At 45.2% G+C, this 17,863-nt stretch overlaps 1 protein-coding gene across 41 annotated transcripts in view, besides 5 other annotated features; it reads left to right on the plus strand.

The window, feature by feature from the left end:
- TACC1 (transforming acidic coiled-coil containing protein 1) overlaps nucleotides 1–17,863 on the plus strand; it is a 124,447-nt gene that overhangs the window by 24,137 nt on the left and 82,447 nt on the right. For 14 of the 41 annotated variants that reach the window (XM_047422138.1, XM_047422139.1, XM_047422143.1 and 11 more), the window contains exon 1: nucleotides 4,557–4,691. The exons of the other annotated variants lie outside the window; for them this stretch is intronic. Coding sequence is in view for 6 of the 14 variants with exons in the window: in XM_005273628.2 (XP_005273685.1) it covers nucleotides 4,615–4,691 (77 nt within the window). In the remaining 8 variants the exon portion in view is untranslated. Of the gene's footprint in view, nucleotides 1–4,556; nucleotides 4,692–17,863 lie in introns of those variants that run through there. 41 annotated transcript variants of the gene reach the window in all.
- Nucleotides 1,613–1,907: a silencer, noted in NCBI's record as "tiled region #10821; HepG2 Repressive DNase matched - State 8:EnhW, and K562 Repressive non-DNase unmatched - State 9:DNaseU". NCBI's record gives its function as "represses a minimal TATA promoter and a strong SV40 promoter by Sharpr-MPRA in HepG2 and K562 cells {active_cell/tissue: HepG2 | K562}" and the evidence as "EXISTENCE:reporter gene assay evidence [ECO:0000049][PMID:27701403]".
- Nucleotides 4,036–4,585: a silencer, noted in NCBI's record as "silent region_19133". NCBI's record gives its function as "represses an Ori minimal core promoter by ATAC-STARR-seq in GM12878 lymphoblastoid cells {active_cell/tissue: GM12878}" and the evidence as "EXISTENCE:reporter gene assay evidence [ECO:0000049][PMID:35858748]".
- Nucleotides 4,676–4,725: a silencer, noted in NCBI's record as "silent region_19134". NCBI's record gives its function as "represses an Ori minimal core promoter by ATAC-STARR-seq in GM12878 lymphoblastoid cells {active_cell/tissue: GM12878}" and the evidence as "EXISTENCE:reporter gene assay evidence [ECO:0000049][PMID:35858748]".
- Nucleotides 4,746–4,915: a silencer, noted in NCBI's record as "silent region_19135". NCBI's record gives its function as "represses an Ori minimal core promoter by ATAC-STARR-seq in GM12878 lymphoblastoid cells {active_cell/tissue: GM12878}" and the evidence as "EXISTENCE:reporter gene assay evidence [ECO:0000049][PMID:35858748]".
- Nucleotides 17,804–17,853: an enhancer, noted in NCBI's record as "active region_27257". NCBI's record gives its function as "activates an Ori minimal core promoter by ATAC-STARR-seq in GM12878 lymphoblastoid cells {active_cell/tissue: GM12878}" and the evidence as "EXISTENCE:reporter gene assay evidence [ECO:0000049][PMID:35858748]".

The raw sequence follows: 17,863 nt of genomic DNA on the forward strand, positions 1-17,863 counted from the left end.
TCCTCCTCCTTCTTGTGTCACAGGCAGGCATAAATTACAGGGCACCAAAAAATAGTAGATTTTATTCTCTCTATGTTCTGTATCAAATGCAATACCAAGTAGTGTCCAACTATGATCCTCCTGCCCTCTGCTTGAAGGAAAACTCAGTTCTGTGAACGATTCTGAGCCCCAGAATTGGCATTACGAAATTTCTCAGTCACTGGGGACAGACAACAGCAGGGTTGCCCATAACTTACAGCTGGCCTCTGAGTGTACCATTTTAGAACCACACCAAGGGAGAGGACATGTTTCCATTTCTTTAATAACTTTCATCAGAGCATAAATTGTGATTGCATAATAACTATTCATATCATCATTAGGGATGCTGAAGTGTTGTGTTTTGTTTTGCTTTGTTTTTTGGAGACAGACTATCGCTGTGTCGCCCAGGCTGCAGTGCAGTGGTGTGATCACAGCTCATTGCAGCTTTGATTTCCTGGGCTCCAGTGATCCTCCTACTTCACGCTCCTGAGTATCTGTGACTGCAGGTGAGCCCCACCATGCTCAGCCAATTTATTTTTTATTTTTTGTAGAGACAGGGGACTCTCTATGTTGCCCAGGCTGGTCTCAAACTTCTGGGCTCAAGAGATCCTCCCCTCTTGGCCTACCGAAGGGCTGAAATTACAGGTGTGAGCCACCATGTCCAGCCTTTTGTTCTTAACTGAAATACAAAAAGCAAGAAAGAGTTTAAACCCAGTGACATTAATCAGAGGAACTGCAGACATCCCACAGTCTATGCCTTTCTTGGAGATCTGCAGCCAGGCTCTGAGATGGAGAAACAGATCTTGGTTCTGCTTCCATGAGAGGGACAAAGCATTATATGTTGTGGGGTAAGATGTGTCTGGGGATCTCTGGTCTGTCTTGGACATTTTTCCCTAAAAGCCCTCATAAGTTTACTTCACAAAGACAACACTTCCCTTCACTGTGTCCACTCAGCCTGGCCCAAAGCCCCAGCTGCCATGCCAGTCAGGGCAGCAAACCCAGTAAACAACATAAAGCAAAACCAGCCAACACACAAGCATCTTTGCAGAGATGCCCTTTGGGTCCCATATGTTAAATCTTTTACATTATTTTACAGAGTTCCTTTTCCCCTTGTCTCAATTTCTCTGCAACACAAGAGGGTGTAGGCTTCACTCTTTCCTCTTTTTCTTTTTCTTTCTTTCTTTCTTTCTTTCTTCTTTCTCTCTCTCTCTTTCATTTTTTGGGTTTTTTTTTTTGAGGCAGAGTCTTGCTCTGTCGCCCAGGCTGGAGTGCAGTGGCACGATCTCCGTTCATTGCAACCTCTGCCTCCCGGGTTCAAGCGATTTTCATGTCTCAGCTTCCCAAGTAGCTGGAATTACAGGCACGCACCACCACACTTGGCTAATTTTTTAAATTTTTGGTAGAGACAGGTTTCGCCATGTTGGCCAGGCTGGTCTCAAACTCCTGAACTCAAGTGCCACCTGCCTCAGCCTCCCAAAGTGCTGGGATTACAGGTGTGAGCCACCGCGCCCGGCCTTTTTCCTTTACTTTCAACCATTTTAGTGGCCCCACCCTGTGCCTTTCTGCACTAATAGTAGTAAGATTCTTCCCGGCAGCCCGTCCTGTCTACCAGAGAAGGAAAACTTTCCCATTCTCACCCTTTTCTCCTGCCTCTCCCGCTCCTGTCTTCCCTCAGAATAACCGACTGGGAATAAAGACCTTTCTCACCAGCAGAGGCTGAGCGTTCCTCTGAAGGGAACCGCAGCTCTGACAGGGTTATGTTTGCATTATCAATGACACTTCAATCACATTGCCATAGTGTTCCAAACAGACTGTGGGAGGAACTTGAACTTAAAAGAAAAATTATCTCAGGAGTTCAAGGCTGCAGCAAGCTATGATCATGCCACTGCACAGAGCAAGACCCTGTCTCTTAAAAGAAAATTATCTGCCAAGAGTCAACTTTTCTTTAGCTATTTGAAATTCTTCATAAAAGAATCTCAATTCCAGCCTCAGTATACTTTTACTAATTGTTTATTTTCCCACTTCAAAATACTGTTTATGTCTACCATGTGTCAACATTCTGGACCCTGGGAACTTTCTGGCTAAGTAGACTAAAGATAATTTATAAAGAGGTAGTCGAAGTCTGCTACATAAAAGAGAGATCTGGCCGGGCACAGTGGCTCACGCCTGTAATCCCAGCACTTCGGGAGGCCGAGGCAGGCGGATCACAAGGACAGGAGTTCAATACAGCCTGGCCAACATAGTGAAACCCTGTCTCTATTAAAAATACAAAAAATAGCCAGGCGTGATGGTGCGCGCCTGTAGTCACAGCTACTCGGGAGGCTGAGGCAGGAGAATCATTTGAACCCGGGAGGCAGAGGTTGTGGTGAGACAAGATAGTGCCACTGCACTCCAGCCTGGGCAACAGAGCGAGACTCCATCTCAAAAAAAAAAAAAAAAAAAAAGATCTGTTGTCAATGTAAATCTCCATTATGCGTTTTCTGATTCTTTCTGGAACAACTAAAATGTAGTCACATATATCTTTATTCCCCTACAGCTTCAAGAATGAAGTTAATGTTGAAAACAATTCTGTGTGCTTCACCACTGGCTCTTTCATTCATTCAGCAAATAGTTATTGTATATAAAACAAGAACCAGGCACTGTGCTGGGCACTAAGCTAGAATACAGAGAAAAGGAGCATTCCCAGCTGGGTGTGGTGGCTTACACCTGTAGTCCCAGTGCTTTGGGAGGTCAAAGCAGGAGGATCACTTGAGGCTAGGAGTTTGAGACCAGCCTGGGCAACATAGTGAGACCCCATCTCTACCAAAAAAAAAGAAAATTAGCTGGGTGTGGTGGCATTCACCTGTGGTCCCAGCTGCTGAAAAGGCTGAGGCAAGAGGGCTGCTTGAGCCCAGGAGTTCAAGGCTCCAGTGAGCTTTGATCGCACCACGGCACTCCAGCCTGGGCAACAGAAAGAGACACGGTCTTTCAAAACAACAACAACAACAACAACAACAACAACAACAACAACAACAACAGAGTGTTCCTGCCTTTAAAGAACTTATATTCTAGTGAAAGATAGACAAGTGAAGAGATCATTATTATTATTATTATTAGAGATGAAGTTGTGCTCTTGTTGCCCAGGCTGGAGTGCAGTGGCGCGATCTCGGCTCACTGCAACCTCCACTTCCTGGGTTCAAGCGATTCTCCTGCCTCAGCCTCCTAAGTAGCTGGGATTACAGGCGTGTGCCACCATGCCCGGCTAATTTTTGTATTTTTAGTAGAGACGGGGTTTCACCATGTTAGTCAGGCTGGTCTCTAACTCCTGACCTCAGGTAATCCACCCCCTAGGCCTCCCAAAGTGCTGGGATTACAGGTGTGAGCCACCGCGCCCGGCCGGGAAGAGAGAATTATAAAATAAGATTGGTAAATGCTTCGTTAGCAGAGTTAACAAGTGCTATAGGAGCCCTGGGAAGGACAGCGATAACATGGGTGTAGGATGCCTGCATCCATCACCAATTGTGAGCGCCCACTGTGTGCCAAGCATGTTGGAGGAACAGTGAAATCGAAACAGATTCCCTGTCTTCATGGAGCTTATGTTCTAGCAAGGGAGACAGGCAGTAACAAAGAAGATGTAACATCAAGATGCAGGATGGTGTCATAGAAGGGAGGTTTGGAGAAGGATTCCAGTCTGCTGGAAAAAGCGCTAGAATAAGGACAGGTGGCTGGAGAGGAGGTGGGTGGGAGGCAGGAATGGGTGAGGAAGGGCATGAGAGATGCTCTAAAGGGAGTTGCTAGGTGTAGCTGGATCGCAGATGAGATGATAGGGATAGGTGTTTGTTTGTTTGTTTGTTTTTTCCTTGCGACAGAGTTTGGAGGAAAATTCATTGCCTGGTTGTCAGAGCCTAAAGGGACATTAAAAGCTAAAGATGAACATACTCCCTTGTTTTATGGATAAAGAAAACAAGACTCAGAGAGGGTGAAATAACTTGTTCCAAGTTACTCAGCTAGTTGGAGGCATAACCAGAGCCCAGTTTTCTGTGCAGCGCAGTCCAGGCCTCCCCTAGTCTCAGGAGGCAGAAGCGGTTTAGGGGAAAGAGCATGCCCTTTGCAGGGCCGCCTGGGTCCCCTGACCCCGTCACACACCGCCCCCTCCTGCTGCTTCTCTGAACAGCAGCTCCCGGGGCCTCTTCCCGCGGCTTCCCTTCCAGCCCCGGACCCAGCGGGCGGAGAGGGCGACGTCCGCGGATCGCGGAGTCCCGGGGGCGCCCGCAGGCCTAGCGCCCTCCACCTGCTGCCCCGTGCCACCTAGGAGTTTCCTTGCCGGGCGAGGAGGCGCCGCTGCCCGGGCTCCCCGCAGCCCCGCACGCCCCAGGGGCTCCGCATCTCCAGGCGGCAGCACCCGCGGGGCCCTGCAATCCGCGGAGAAGTTGGCGGCATCTGAAGCCACCTCCTTCCCCGCTTTCCCAGCGGCGGGGACCCTACGGCCGGGCGCCCCACCCCGCCCTCCCTCGCCCCACCCTTCCTCCCGCCCCACCGCCTCCCCGCCCAGGGTCTGGGCACAGCCGCCCGCCGCCCAGCACAGGAGGGTGCAGCCCCGGCCCCAAGTTCTGCGCCATGGGAGGCTCCCACTCTCAGACCCCGAGGGGCCGGGAACCCGCCGGGGAGAGGCACCCGAGACCCACGGAGACCGCGTGAGTCCCAGAGCCCTCTCCAAGGGCCGCCTTTGGGGGTTTGCGTGCCAGCCCGGGATGGAGCGCGCTGGGGCCCGTCCCAGAAAGGCTGGGAAGGTGGGGTTCCCGCTGGCGGCAGCGGGGCACGAGCGCTCGGCAGCGGGGCACGAGAGTTTGGCCAGCAGGGCCCCAGGGGCGTCCGGCTGGGAGCGTCCTGCCAGGACCCCACCGCGACCGGATCGCGTCCGGGCGTGACCGTGGTCCTGCCCCAGTACACGCTGTACTGGGGAGACAAGGGGACCCCGGCCTCGTCCAAGCAGAAAACGCACGTGTCCTAAAGAGCTCTGAAACATTCACAAGACAGAGTTATTTGTAGGGAGGTGAAACTATGAGAGAGGCACTCAAGTCTCAAAACGCAATTGGCGTTGGCCCTCGGGGTCCAGGAATTTTGACGCAGTGCTTGCTGCTTGCAAGAACTCCCTCTCTTGTTTGCTCCAAGGGTTTCATGATGATCTCAGAAAAAAAGGGCAGTATTGTAGCAGCAGCAATTAGGCTTTTGTTCTGGGACAGCAACAATTGGGGACACCAAGTACTGTAATGAAAGCTGTGAAGGGAAAGTTTTAGAGAAAGTGATTAGGAGCAAGTCCTACGGTTTGAAAGATGGCCAATGCTTATTGACAGAGAGGGGATAACAATTTATTTGGAAACCAAATAGTCTTTAAATATTTATTTATTTATTTATTGGAATGCATGCGTGTTTTGGAATTGCAGCAGTGTCAGGGAATCCATACTCTTTATTTTAATTCAGCCCATGTCGAAGCTATTTAGTTTGAGAAAGATACACTTAACCATCACAAAAGCAGCCTGGACCGCGGGAGGGCTTTTGAATCATCTTTTCAAGGCAAAATAGCTTTCGGAATATCCAAATGGCTAATTTTGTCCCTAATGTTACCGATGTTCACAAATATAAACTTACTTCAGGCAGCTTATTAATAAGAATAGCTGACGCCGGGCGTGGTTGGCTCACGCCTGTAATCCCAGCACTTTGGGAGGCCGAGGGGGGCAGATCCCCTGAGGTCAGGAGTTCGTAGACCAGCTTGACCAACATGGTGAAACCCCGTCTCTACTAAAAATACAAAAATTAGCCTAGCATGGCGGTGCGAGCCTGTAGTTCCAGCTACTTGGGAGGCTGAGGCAGGAGAATCACTTGAACCCAGAAGGCGGAGGTTGTGGTGAGCCAAGATCGGGCCACTGCACTCCAGCCTGGGCGACAGAGGGAGACTCCATCTCAAAAAAAAAAAAAAAAAAAAAAAAAAGCTGAGATTTACTGAGCACATGACATGTGCAAAACACTTCTAAATGCCCCACATGTTATTTAACCCCCAAGAGCCATTGAATTACTATAGTTCTTGTTACTGTCTTCATTTTACTGGTGAGGGAACTGAAGCACAGAACGATCAAGTAACCTCTCCAAGGTCACACAGCTAGAAAGTGGTGGACCCCAGAGCTCATGCCGCAGCCGCCTCCCACCCAAGAGTTGGAACTATCCTAGGAAACAATCAAAACTTGTCTCAACTGGCAGAGCACACCATCCTTTTTCCTTTAATTTTGTTTGAATAAGGAGTAAATCTGCAATAGCAATGCTTAATAGCTAATTAGACAAAATTGCCAAAGTCGATTTAACTTTCAAAAAACAAACAGGAGAGGCAATATAACATTGAGATGAAGTTAAGAGTTTGGGAGGCAAAGAGCCATGGGTTGAATTTCTAGGTGCTGCTCCTTAATGCTGGAGATCTTTTATCTGTTCCTTAACTCCTCTGTGTCTGTTTCCTTATGTGTGAAACAGGAATGATAACAATATCTACTTCACAGGCTATTCTGAGGTTGACATAAAATCAGTATATATGAATAATAAGTTATAGTTTATCTCTGAGCAATATACTATTTTAGCTGAGGATGAAAGTTGACTATTTTTTGTAAATGTGTGGCCAAGTTTACTGTGTAACTTGAAAGTAAATAATGGAGTCTTTCACTGACTGTATGCTGAAGAAATGAACTCAGGATGTGAGGTAGGGTTCAGTTGTTAGGGTGTTAAATTATCCAGTGGCTTGGCAGCCTACTTGTTTTACCCGTATAATATAAACATGCATAAAGGATCTCTCTCTTCATTGAGGCTCTGCATGCACCTTGAATATTTTACAATGCTTGCCTAAAAGCAATCAACATGAAAGCCCATCCTTGGTCTTTGCCTAGGAATACAGTCCCTCCCTACTCAAGTGAATACATGAAGCACATAAACACATGCAGTCAGTACTGGGATTACTGGCCTCATCTGTATGTGTAGACTCTGCTCAGTGAGGCAGCCTCACAAATCATTTGGCATGTCCAGGTGAAAGACTCTAGAAATGCAAGATTCCAAACTGTAATATACATGAAAAGCAAAAAGGATGCTTTTTATCCAAGTTCTGCCTTGTTCAGATGTACAAGCGACAAGTCTCTCCAGGATACAAGAAAGTAGGAGGTTCATTGTTAATGTTACCCGGCTACAGACTTCCTGCCGAACATATGGCTGTCATGGATAACGCTGACCTCAAGGAAGTTCTCCTACTGAGGCTGTAGCCTTTTCAAAATCTATTGTTCTTTTTTTAAAAAAAAAAAATACATGAAAGTCATATGAATAATACATCAATGCTGGCATTTGTCTTTTGAGGGAGAAAGTATGTTTCACAATGTTCACAATTTGTATTTCAGAATAATCTAATCAGGTACTAAAAGTAACTAGATTAAATCTCTCTTACAAGAGCTCTATTGTGAAATATAAACAAGCATAGATGTACATGAAAAGAAATGTCTGATTTTAAGATACAATTCATTATTATTGAGAATTGTAGCTGCTAACCTTCTCCAAACCCAAGAAGCCAATGAGCCAGCTTTGGTAAAAGCTAGTGGAAATTTCACTTCATTTATTCAAGGAGGCCGTACAGGAAGGTGATTAAGAGCAGAAATTGTGGAGTCAGGCAGACCTGGGTTGTAATCCCAGCTAGATCACTTAGGAGGTTAGTTTAGGAAACATTGGAAATACAGTTATTTAACTCTTCAGTTAGGCAAATTTCTGCATCTGTAAAATGGCAATAATAATCAGACCTAATTGTTTTTTTTTTGAGATGGAGTCTCACTCTGTTGCCCAGGCTGGAGTGCAGTGGCACATCTCGGCTCACTGCAACCTTCAGGTTCAAGTGAGTCTCCTGCCTCAGCCTCCTGAGTAGCTAGGATTACAGGCGCATACCACCATGCCCGGCTAGTTTTTATTTTTAGTAGAGATGGGATTTTGCCATGTTGGCCAGGCTGGTCTCGAACTCCTGACCTCAAATGATCCACCCACCTCACCCTCCCAAAGTGCTGGGATTACAGGCGTGAGCCACTGCGCCTGGCCTCAGACCTAATTTTTGAAGTGGTGTATATTAGTAACACAATGGCCAGCACTTAGTGAGTGTGCAATACGTAGTTATTATGAACACATTTGCACATGTATGTACCCATGAACCAGATGCCATGCTGGGCTCTTTGGAAGGTATATTCATGAGTAAGGCAGGGTCTCTTCTGCAGGGAAGTTTGATTTGTGTGCTAATTCTACAAGGCCTCTGAGAAAAGCAAGGCAATAACTTTTTTGAGTTAATTTTTTCCTCATTTTTCACTTCCATTTTCCAGAAAGTTGTACTACCAAGAGGATGGAAATGCATTTGGGAATATGATAGTTTGATGAAATGTTTGAAATCACTCATTCCTTAGTTGTGTATTTTTGGCGATGTGGCCAAGGTAGGTTTTCTACGAGTAGTGGGGAATTTGTGGAGAGATTTGAAGTATGAGACAAAGCAGAACCTGTGATTCATTGGGGAATATCATCTGGTGTTTGTTGTTTAGCTTCTCTGCCTGGAATGTAAGATCTACACCTGTTGTCAATTCTTACTAGTTAAGTTTCCAGACCAATCGTTTGCATTTGGAATTTAGCATAAGGTCAGTAGCAAAGTCAGGAGGAGTTTCTGACGTCTTCATTGATTTTGCCATGTGAATTTCTGATCAATTAGGTGCTGGCTATGTGATATTCTAGTGAACTGCAAAGTCAGCAACAGCTAGGGTGAAGTGCCTTTTAATGAGCACATCACTGTGGGACACATGTCCCTGACACCAAGAGGGAGGTGCTGGCTTGGAGGTTTTAGACACAAGAAAACATGAATTAAAATAACTAAACTTAGGGAGCAACATTTGTAAATTCATTGCTTTCAAATTTATAATATTGTTTACCACCTTCTCAACACAAAATATTTGTTGTCATTAAAAGCATGTCAGTTCCCATTTGCTATAGAAGTTTTTTAAATGTCCATGTGAAAATGTCTTAGTATAAAATTAAGAGAGAGATTTAGAGCAAGTTTGTGGAGAAGACCCAGAGCAACCAGCCCTGTGATGAAAAGGTAAAAGAATTATAGTATTTAACTTGGAGAAGGGACCCAAGACATGTGGAAATATGTAATTTTTAGGAGATGTTGGCTGGCTCTATCTCCCGTGAAGCCAATCCCGAAGGAAATGATTTGAATTGCATGACAAGGGAATTATTTGTATCTACTGAATTTAGATATTGCAACTTCTAGACTATGAGGGTAGTTGAAATAGAAAAAAGAGTTAATAATGGGAAGAAAAATCCCTCTCTGCAAAGCATTAAAAAGTAAGATAGATACTCTATCAAGAGTGCAACTCTGAGGGAATTCAGGCACAGTTTTTAAGTATACAACTCCGTGGCATTAAGTACATTGGACAACCATCACCACCACCCATTTCCAGAACTTTTTCAGCATCCCAAACAGAAATTCTGTACCCATTAAACAATAACTTTTCACTCCTCCTTCCCCCAGCCCCCGGCACCCACCATCCTATTTTCCGTCTCTACACATTTGACTACTGTAGGTACCTCATGTAAGTGGAAATGTACAGTATTTGTCTTTTCATGACTGGTTTATTTCCCTTAGCATAATGTCCTCAAGGTGTGTCCATGTCGTAGCATGTATCAGAATTTCTTTATGGCTGAACAGTATTCCATTGTGTATATATACCACATTTTGTTTATTCATTCATCTGTGAGTGAATACTTGAGTTGTCTCCACCTTTTGGCTTTTTTTTTTGTTTTTTTTGGGGGGACAGAGTCTCACTCTGCCACTGATGCTGGAGTACAGTGGCGTGATCTTGGCTCATTGCAACCTCCACCTCCCAAATTCAAGCGATTCTTCTGCCTCAGCCTCCCTAGTAGCTGAGATTACAGGCATGCGTCACCAGGCCCGGCTAAATTTTTTATTTTTAGCAGAGTCAAAGTTTTGCCATGTTGGCCAGGCTGATCTCAAACTCCTGACCTGAGGTGATCCACCCGCCTCGGCCTCCCAAAGTGCTGGGATTACAGGCATGAGCCCGGCCCCACCTTTTGGCTCTTGTGAGCAATTCTGCTTTAAGCATCGTTATACAAGTACGTGTGAGTCCCTGCTTGCAGCTCTTTGGAGTATAAACCTAGGAGCTGGATTGCTGGATCATGTGATAACCCACTTCACTTTTTGAGGAACCACAAAACTGTCTTCCATAGTGGCTGCACCATTTGTCATTCCCACCAACAAATGCATGAGGGCTCTAATTTTTTCACATTCTAACACTTGTTATTTTCTGTTGTTGTTTTTAAATAGGCATCCCAATGGGTGCGAAGTGGTATCTCATTTGTTGTTGTTGTTGTTGTTGTTGTTTTAGACAAGAGTCTAGCTCTGTCACCCAGGCTGGAATACAGTGGCACAAACATAGCACACTGAAGCCTTGAACTCCTGGGCTGAAACAATCCTCACACCATAGCCTCTCGAGTAGCTGGACCACAGGTGCACACCAACATCCCTAGCTATTTGTTTAAAAAAAAAAATTGTGGAAATGGGGCTCTTGCTATATTGCCCAGGATATAGTCTCAAACTCCCGGCCTCAAATAATTCTCCCCCCTCAGCCTCCCAGAGTGCTAAGATTACAGGTGTGAGCCACCATGCCCGGCCTCATTTTGTTTTAGCATAAACAAGACATCACTTTGGAGATCTAAGGATTTTAGGAGTTGCATGCCAGGAAATGGAGTCAGAAACCAAATACAGTATTTACAATATCACAATTGTAAAGAAAATAAACTACCCATAATCTCATCATCTGGAGATAATTGTTAACATGCTGGGACATTTTTTATAGTCTCTTTTTGTCCACCAAGTATATTTTTCAAAAATGGGGTTCTGCTATGTCTTCTGTATTCTCATGTTTTACTTAACATTATAAACATTTCTCTATATTACTTTACTGAATTCAAAAATATTGTTTTAATGCTTGCTTAATGGTTCATTATCTGTATATACCATAATTCATTTTTTTCTACATGTTTGATATTTAGGTTGGTTATCATTTTTGCTCATATAAACAACACAGTTAATAAACATCCTTGTAATTCTTTGTACATTTCTGAGTAATAACTTAGGATACATTCCTAGAACTTCAATTACAGGGTCAAATAATGTATAGCAAGATTCTAAAAGTTGCTACATATTACTATATATTGCCAAATTTCCCTCCTCCCCACAATTAATACCAAGTTAGAATCCTCCCAACACTTCATGACAGTGACTGCTCAGCATCCTTTTCTTTTCTTTTTTGAGACTGAATCTCACTCTGTCACCCAGGCTGGAGTGCAATGGTGCAATCTCAGCTCACTGCAACCTCCACCTTCCTGGTTCAAGCAATTCTCCTGCCTCAGCCTCCTGAGTAGCTGGGATTACAGGCGCCCACCACCATGCCCAGCTAATTTTTGTATTTTTAGTAGAGACAGGGTTTCACCAAGTTGGCCAGGCTGGTCTTGAACTCCTGACCTCAGGTGATTCACCCTCCTCAGCCTCCCAAAGTGCTGGGATTACAGGCATGAGCCACTGCGCCTGGCCCAGAGCATCCTTTTCAATGCTGGGCACTATCATTTTAAATCAATTTGGTAAAAAAAAAAAAAAAAAAAGCAATCCTGTTTTAATTTTTTAATTCATTAGTAAGGGTTATGTTTAATTCATTAGTAAGAGAATGTTATGTTTATTAGCCATTTTGAATTCCTTAATTTCTTGTTATTTCTCCTTGCCTGTTATGGACTGGTATATTAATTTTTCCATATTTATTTGTAAGAGTTCTTTATCTTTATATGGTGAGGCCAGCTAGCATTTATTGAGCACTTACCACGTGCTAGGAAAATGCTAAGGTCTTGGCCGTGCGCAGTGGCTCATGCCTGTAATCCTAGCACTTTGGGAGGCCGAGGAGGGCAGGTCACCTGAGGTCAGGGGTTTGATACCAGCCTGGCCAACAACTTTGAAATACCATTTAAAAAATTTAGTATCAGGCTGGGCACGGTGGCTAACACCTGTAATCCCAGCACTTTGGGAGGCCAAGGCGGGTGGATCACCTGAGGTCAGGAGTTTGAGACCAGCCTGGCCGACGTTGCGAAACCCTGTCTGTACTAAAAATACAAAAATTAGCCAGGCATGGTGGCAGGAGCCTATAATCCCAGCTACTCAAGAGGCTGAGGCAGGATAATCGCTTGAACCGGGGGGATGGAGGTTGCAGTAAGCCGAGATCACACCACTACACTCTAGCCTGGTTGACAAAGTGAAACTCCGTCTCAAAAAAAAAAAATTCCGTATCATAACCTCTCTTTCTTTCTGTTTAACTCTTGATGGCTTTGTTTCTTTTTTTTTTTAATGTGTAATTTTATTTCTGCCTCATTAAACCTCCTCTTGGTCTAGGCCAACAAGAGTTTCTTCCTCCTCCAAGCACACATGTATTGGGCACTTGATTATGAGAAAATCCTCAGATTATTGGAACTTGGTATGGAGTACATACCTGTCCCTCCCCTCCAACCTGTGTGCTAATTATCTTATGGAAAATAACCTTTTTCTTGCCTTTTTCTCCCAAGAAAGCCTTGAGTCTCATCCAGAAGTCAGATAAGTGCTGGATCTCTTCTCTTTGCTTGAGTGACAAGTTGTTTTTTTCTGATTCTAAAGAAGGAGATTGCTGTCCACACATGAATATCCACAAGGCTAACACTGCCCCTTTATTATTCAGGAAGATATTTGGTTTTCAGCTTTCCCTTGATGGTTTTTGTCTTTTTATTCCCATTCATTGAACAAATGTTAATTTTTTCTTTTCACTCTCTTTCATTCAACAAGTATTAATTGACTGCCTTCTTATGTTCAGGCACTGTGAACATTATTATGTATGTGGGAATTTACATGAGCAGAAGAAAGCATTTCTAAATGCATGAAATCTGAATATTTGTTTATAATACTGCGGACGGGACATATGCCGAAAAGTCAAACAAGAGGAAATGACCTTGTGAATGGAGGGGGATGTGTGGAGCTGAAAAAAAATAGGACATCTATAACTGAGCTTTTCTCATAGATTTTTTTTTTACCAGCCTAGCCAATTTTCAGTCCATCTTAAGGTTGCATTTTAAGCATTTTCGCTTCCTCTGCTGAAATAGTGGCACCTTCAAATGCTCTCGGTCATCAGTAAGCTTTGTCAGGCATACATTTTTCAGGGACAGTCTTTAGAGTTTATTTTTTGTAATAATAGGACATAAAGCACAAACAGATTTAATATAAGGAATGGCAAATGATGAACCACTGTTCTCTGCTCTTCCTTTATCTTCCAGCTCCTTTACTTTTATTTGTGGAGACTTGGTACCCTTGATGAGTGACTATCCACAAGGATCCCTTACTTTGACATTGCTTCATTCCCAGAACACTTACTGTTACAGATACTTTGGATGTAATTTTTTCATTGTTTGTACAATTGTACAATAGTACAGTTTTATCTTTATCAATCTTATATGTCTGCTACATATGATATTAATGACACTTCTAGGCAAAATACATTATATTTAGCCTCCTTAAATTTGGGAATGTTACACAGAAACTTTAGAGTCCTGTCTATTTTTGGAGGTAGAGTAGTTCCATTTCTGAGAAAACCCATCCTGTTTATCTGTCTTATACTCTGCATGTTCTCATAAAAACCTGACGGCATAGAATGTCACTGGTAAAGATGGGAGCTCCCAGAAACCTTACAAAGATGCTTTGCTGTACAGCAATAGTTCTGAAAACTGTTCAGAGATCCCTTGATAATATGATCGAACTTTTAGGGATCTTTCCCTGTGAAAATACACATATACACAATATGTGAAATGAGGACTGTCAGAGACCCTGAAATCTGTGCATTATCCCATTTAATCCTTTCATGGATCCCATGAAATAGACATTATTATCTGCATTTTACAGATGAAGAAACTGAGGCCTGGAAAAGTTGAGAAACTAAGGCCACAGAGCTAGGTTTCAGTCCTGATGAACCTGGCTGAAGCAGAGGACACAAATTACCAGTCAATTCCAGAGTGTTTCTGCCACCCAGGCAACTCATTAACCAGTGGAGGCTTCTGTTTATCTACTAGAAAAGGAGTTTTTATGGCTATTTCCTACTGATAAGATAGTTTCAGGGAAGTAAATGTTTGAGAAAACATCGCCCAGCCCATTCTGTAGCTAAATAGCTATAGAGAAATCCTGTATTGCATTTACACAGAGCCGACAGAAGACCTCTGTGTAAATTTCCTGGGTTTCTGTGCTGAAGTATTTTTGTCTATGAGTCTTGCTTTCCTAACAACGGCAAAATGTTATGTTTCTATGGCTACATCAGAATTGTTCTTAAATAGGGGTTTGAGAAAACAAAACTAGGAAGGCTTGGGCAAGATACGAAGGTAGGAAGATGACTGACGTTTCCTCTGCCTTTTCACACCTGTGTATCCATTGGCCTCAGAAGGCCCTTGAACCTCTTGATGATATTCAGGCTGTGGCACTTCTGGGCAGATGTGTGTGAAGCCATGATTCCTAATAAGTGCCCCGTGGGCCATAGTAATGGCACTTGGGACCACAGGTCAAGTCCTTATAACCTGGGCCCTTTACAGTTGATACCCAAAGCAGAGATTGGCAGGTTCTCTTGAGGACAAGACTAGAACCAAGAGATGTGTGCAAATTTCAGGAATAGCTGGCAATAATGGGGAAGAAGAGAGACAGAGAGAGTAGAGTCTAGAGTGGGCTTCTTTTACCTGTTTTCCATCTCCTTCCTGCTTCTTGCCAGGTGGAGGGCTCTATCCTCCCACCAGGGGATGCCAGCCACCATCCACTAAGTTTTTGGCTTGGGGTTGGCCTGGTGGGGAGCAAGAGTTTCTTCAATCAACTCCTTTGCTGGGTGGAATAAAATGAGAGGGCCATTCAGATACTAATTTATAGTACCCGTAGGATAAAAGAAAATAGATTAGGGGCCGGGCACAGTGGCTCACGTCTGTAATCCCAACACTTTGGGAGTCTGAGGTGGGAGGATCATTTGAGCCCAGGAGTTTGGGACCAGTCTGGGCAACATAGCAAGACTCTATCTGTACAAATAATTTTTTTAAAAATTAGCCAGATGTGTTGTCGGCGCCTGTGGTCCCAGCTACTTGGGAGGCGGAGGCGGGAGGATCTCTTGAGCCCAGGAACTCGAGGCTGCAGTGAGATGAGATTGTGCCACTGCACTCCAGCCTGGGTGACAGAGTGAGACGCTGTCTTGAAGGAAGGAAGGAAGGAAGGAAGGAAGGAAGGAAGGAAGGAAGGAAGGAAGGTAGGGGAAGGGAAGGGAGGGAGGAAGGGAAAGAAAATAAAGGAGGACAAAATTGACTTTTTGACACCCCATTCCTTCTGCTGGTCGGGATCCTGCCTCTCAGGGGTGTGTCTTCAAATCCTGTGATTCACAGAGAACTTTCTGTAGCTTCTGAGAAGTTGGGAGTCTCCCTTCTGCAGTCGTTCAGTGCTTGTTCATTTGTATCTGCTGGTTAAACTGCAGTATAAACACCCTGCATTGGATGCAGAGGGGACTCATTGTGACTTTTTGTATTTATAGAAGTACAAATGTTGAAGAAATTCTCTTCACACACAAATGTGTTGATGGACGGTGTGATGGAACGTTCTAGTGCCCTCTGGTGGCTACTGCGGCTTCCGGCTGGTGAAGCTGCACAGCAGAAGGAACGGGAGTGTCAAAAGTTCAATTTTTTCCTCCTCCATCCTTGATAATTGTGTGTCTTGTTTGATCGATTCCATACCCCTGTATGAATGGTCCAGGGGCTGAGCAAGAAGCTGTGTCTTAGGACTGAAGTGCTTGAGGAGTGTGTGTGTGTGTGTGTCAGACAGAGAGAGACTTTGAGGGGTATATGTGCAATGTGTGTGTGTCACCATATATATATGTGAAACTGTGTGTGGGAGGTATGTGTGTGACTGTGGGCTTATGTGAGAGTTGGGGGTAGGTGTGGTGTGTGTGGTTATATGTGTACCAGAGACTCAATGTGTGGGTGGGGGTGTGTGGTGTGTGTGAGACTGTGTATGTAAGACTGTCGGGGGAGGTGTGTGTGTGACTGTGTGTGGTGTGTGTGACTATGTGTGTGGGGTGTATATGTGTACATGAGACTGTGGGGATGGGAGTGTGTGATATGTGTGGTGTGTGTGAGACTGCGTGGTGCGTGGATATGAGGCTGTGGGGGTGGAGGTGTATGGTGTGTGTGTGAGACTGTTGTGGGGAGGTTTGTGTGACTGTGTGGTGTGTGTGTGTGTGAGAGACTGTATGGGTGGGGGTGTGTGTGGTATATGTGTGACTAGGTGTGTGGTGTGTGTGTGTATGAGACTGTGTATGGGAGGGTGTGTGTGGTGTGTGTGATTGTGTGGTGTGTGTATGTGTATGAGACTGTGTATGGGTTGGGGGTGTGGTGTGTGTGACTACATGTGTAGTGTGTATATGTGTATGTAAGACTGTGTATGGTGGGGGGTGTGTGTGGTATGTGTGTAACTAGGTGTGTGGTGTATGTGATACTGCATGGGTGGGGGTGTGTGGTGTGTGATTATATGTGTGGTGTGTGTATGTATATGAGACTGTATGAGGTGGGGGGGTGTGGTGTGTATGTGACTGTGTGTGGTGTGTGTGTGTGAGACTGGGTATGGGTGAGGGTATGTGGTGTGTGTGTGTGGTGTGTGTATGTATATGTGAGACTGTGTATGGGTTGGGGGTGGGAGTGTGGTGTGTGTATGACTGTGTGTGGTGTATGTATATGTATGTGAGGCTGTATGGGTCAGGAATGTGGTGTGTGTGACTACGTGGGGTGTGTGTGTGTGAGAGAGAGACTGGGTATGGGTGAGGGTGTGTGGTGTGTGTGATTGTGTGTGTGGTGTGTGTGTGAGACTGGGTATGGGTGAAGGTGTGTGGTGTGTGTATGTGTATGCGAGACTGTGTATGGGTTGGGGGTGTGGTGTGTATATGACTGTGTGTGGTGTGTGTATGTATGTGAGGCTGTATGGGTTAGGGGTGTGGTGTGTGTGACTATGTGGTGTGTGTGTGAGACTGGGTATGGGTGAGGGTGTGTGGTGTGTGTGTGATTGTGTGGTGTGTGTGACTGTGTGTATGGTGTGTGTGTGTGAGAGAGAGTGGGTATGGGTGGGGGTGTATGATGTGGGTGTGAGACTGCTGGGGGAGGTGCATGTGTGACTGTGCATGCGTGTGGTGTGTGTGTATACATGAGACCCTGTGTGGTGTGGCGTGTGTATGTGAACATGCGTGCTCCCTGCGCTGCCGGCTCTGGCTCTCCCCCATCCTTCCTCACAGAGCAGCGCAGGTTTGGCCACAGATGTCAGGAGCCCGCGGCTTCCCTGCTGAGCTAAGAGCCCTCTTCAGGCCTTGTGGTGTCACTATAGCTGACAGTGTCAAGTCTCACGCCCTTTACGAAGCAGAGAGGGGTTTTGATGCCGCATTGTTTAGCAGTATGCAGACCTCTCCCTAGGGGCTGTAGATTTCCTGCCTTCTGAACAATCTCGAGGGGAGCGTGGATTTCCGTCCCGGCGGCACCCTCGGGTTTTCCCTCCCCTGCCCCCTCCGCCGCGCTCTCCCCCTTCGCACATTCGGAAACCCTCTTGGGAGCTGAATCATGTTCTCGCCTTTTTTGGTCCTAGTTGAGCTCTCTTCCACTTTCATCACCAGAGGCTTGAGATCTGTGAAAGAATCAGTTCCTCGCAGGCTGCGGTCTGCGCCGCGCCTCCTTTGTA

This window comes from Homo sapiens, chromosome 8 (assembly GCF_000001405.40).
Source record: "Homo sapiens chromosome 8, GRCh38.p14 Primary Assembly".
NCBI classification, from domain to species: domain Eukaryota; kingdom Metazoa; phylum Chordata; class Mammalia; order Primates; family Hominidae; genus Homo; species Homo sapiens.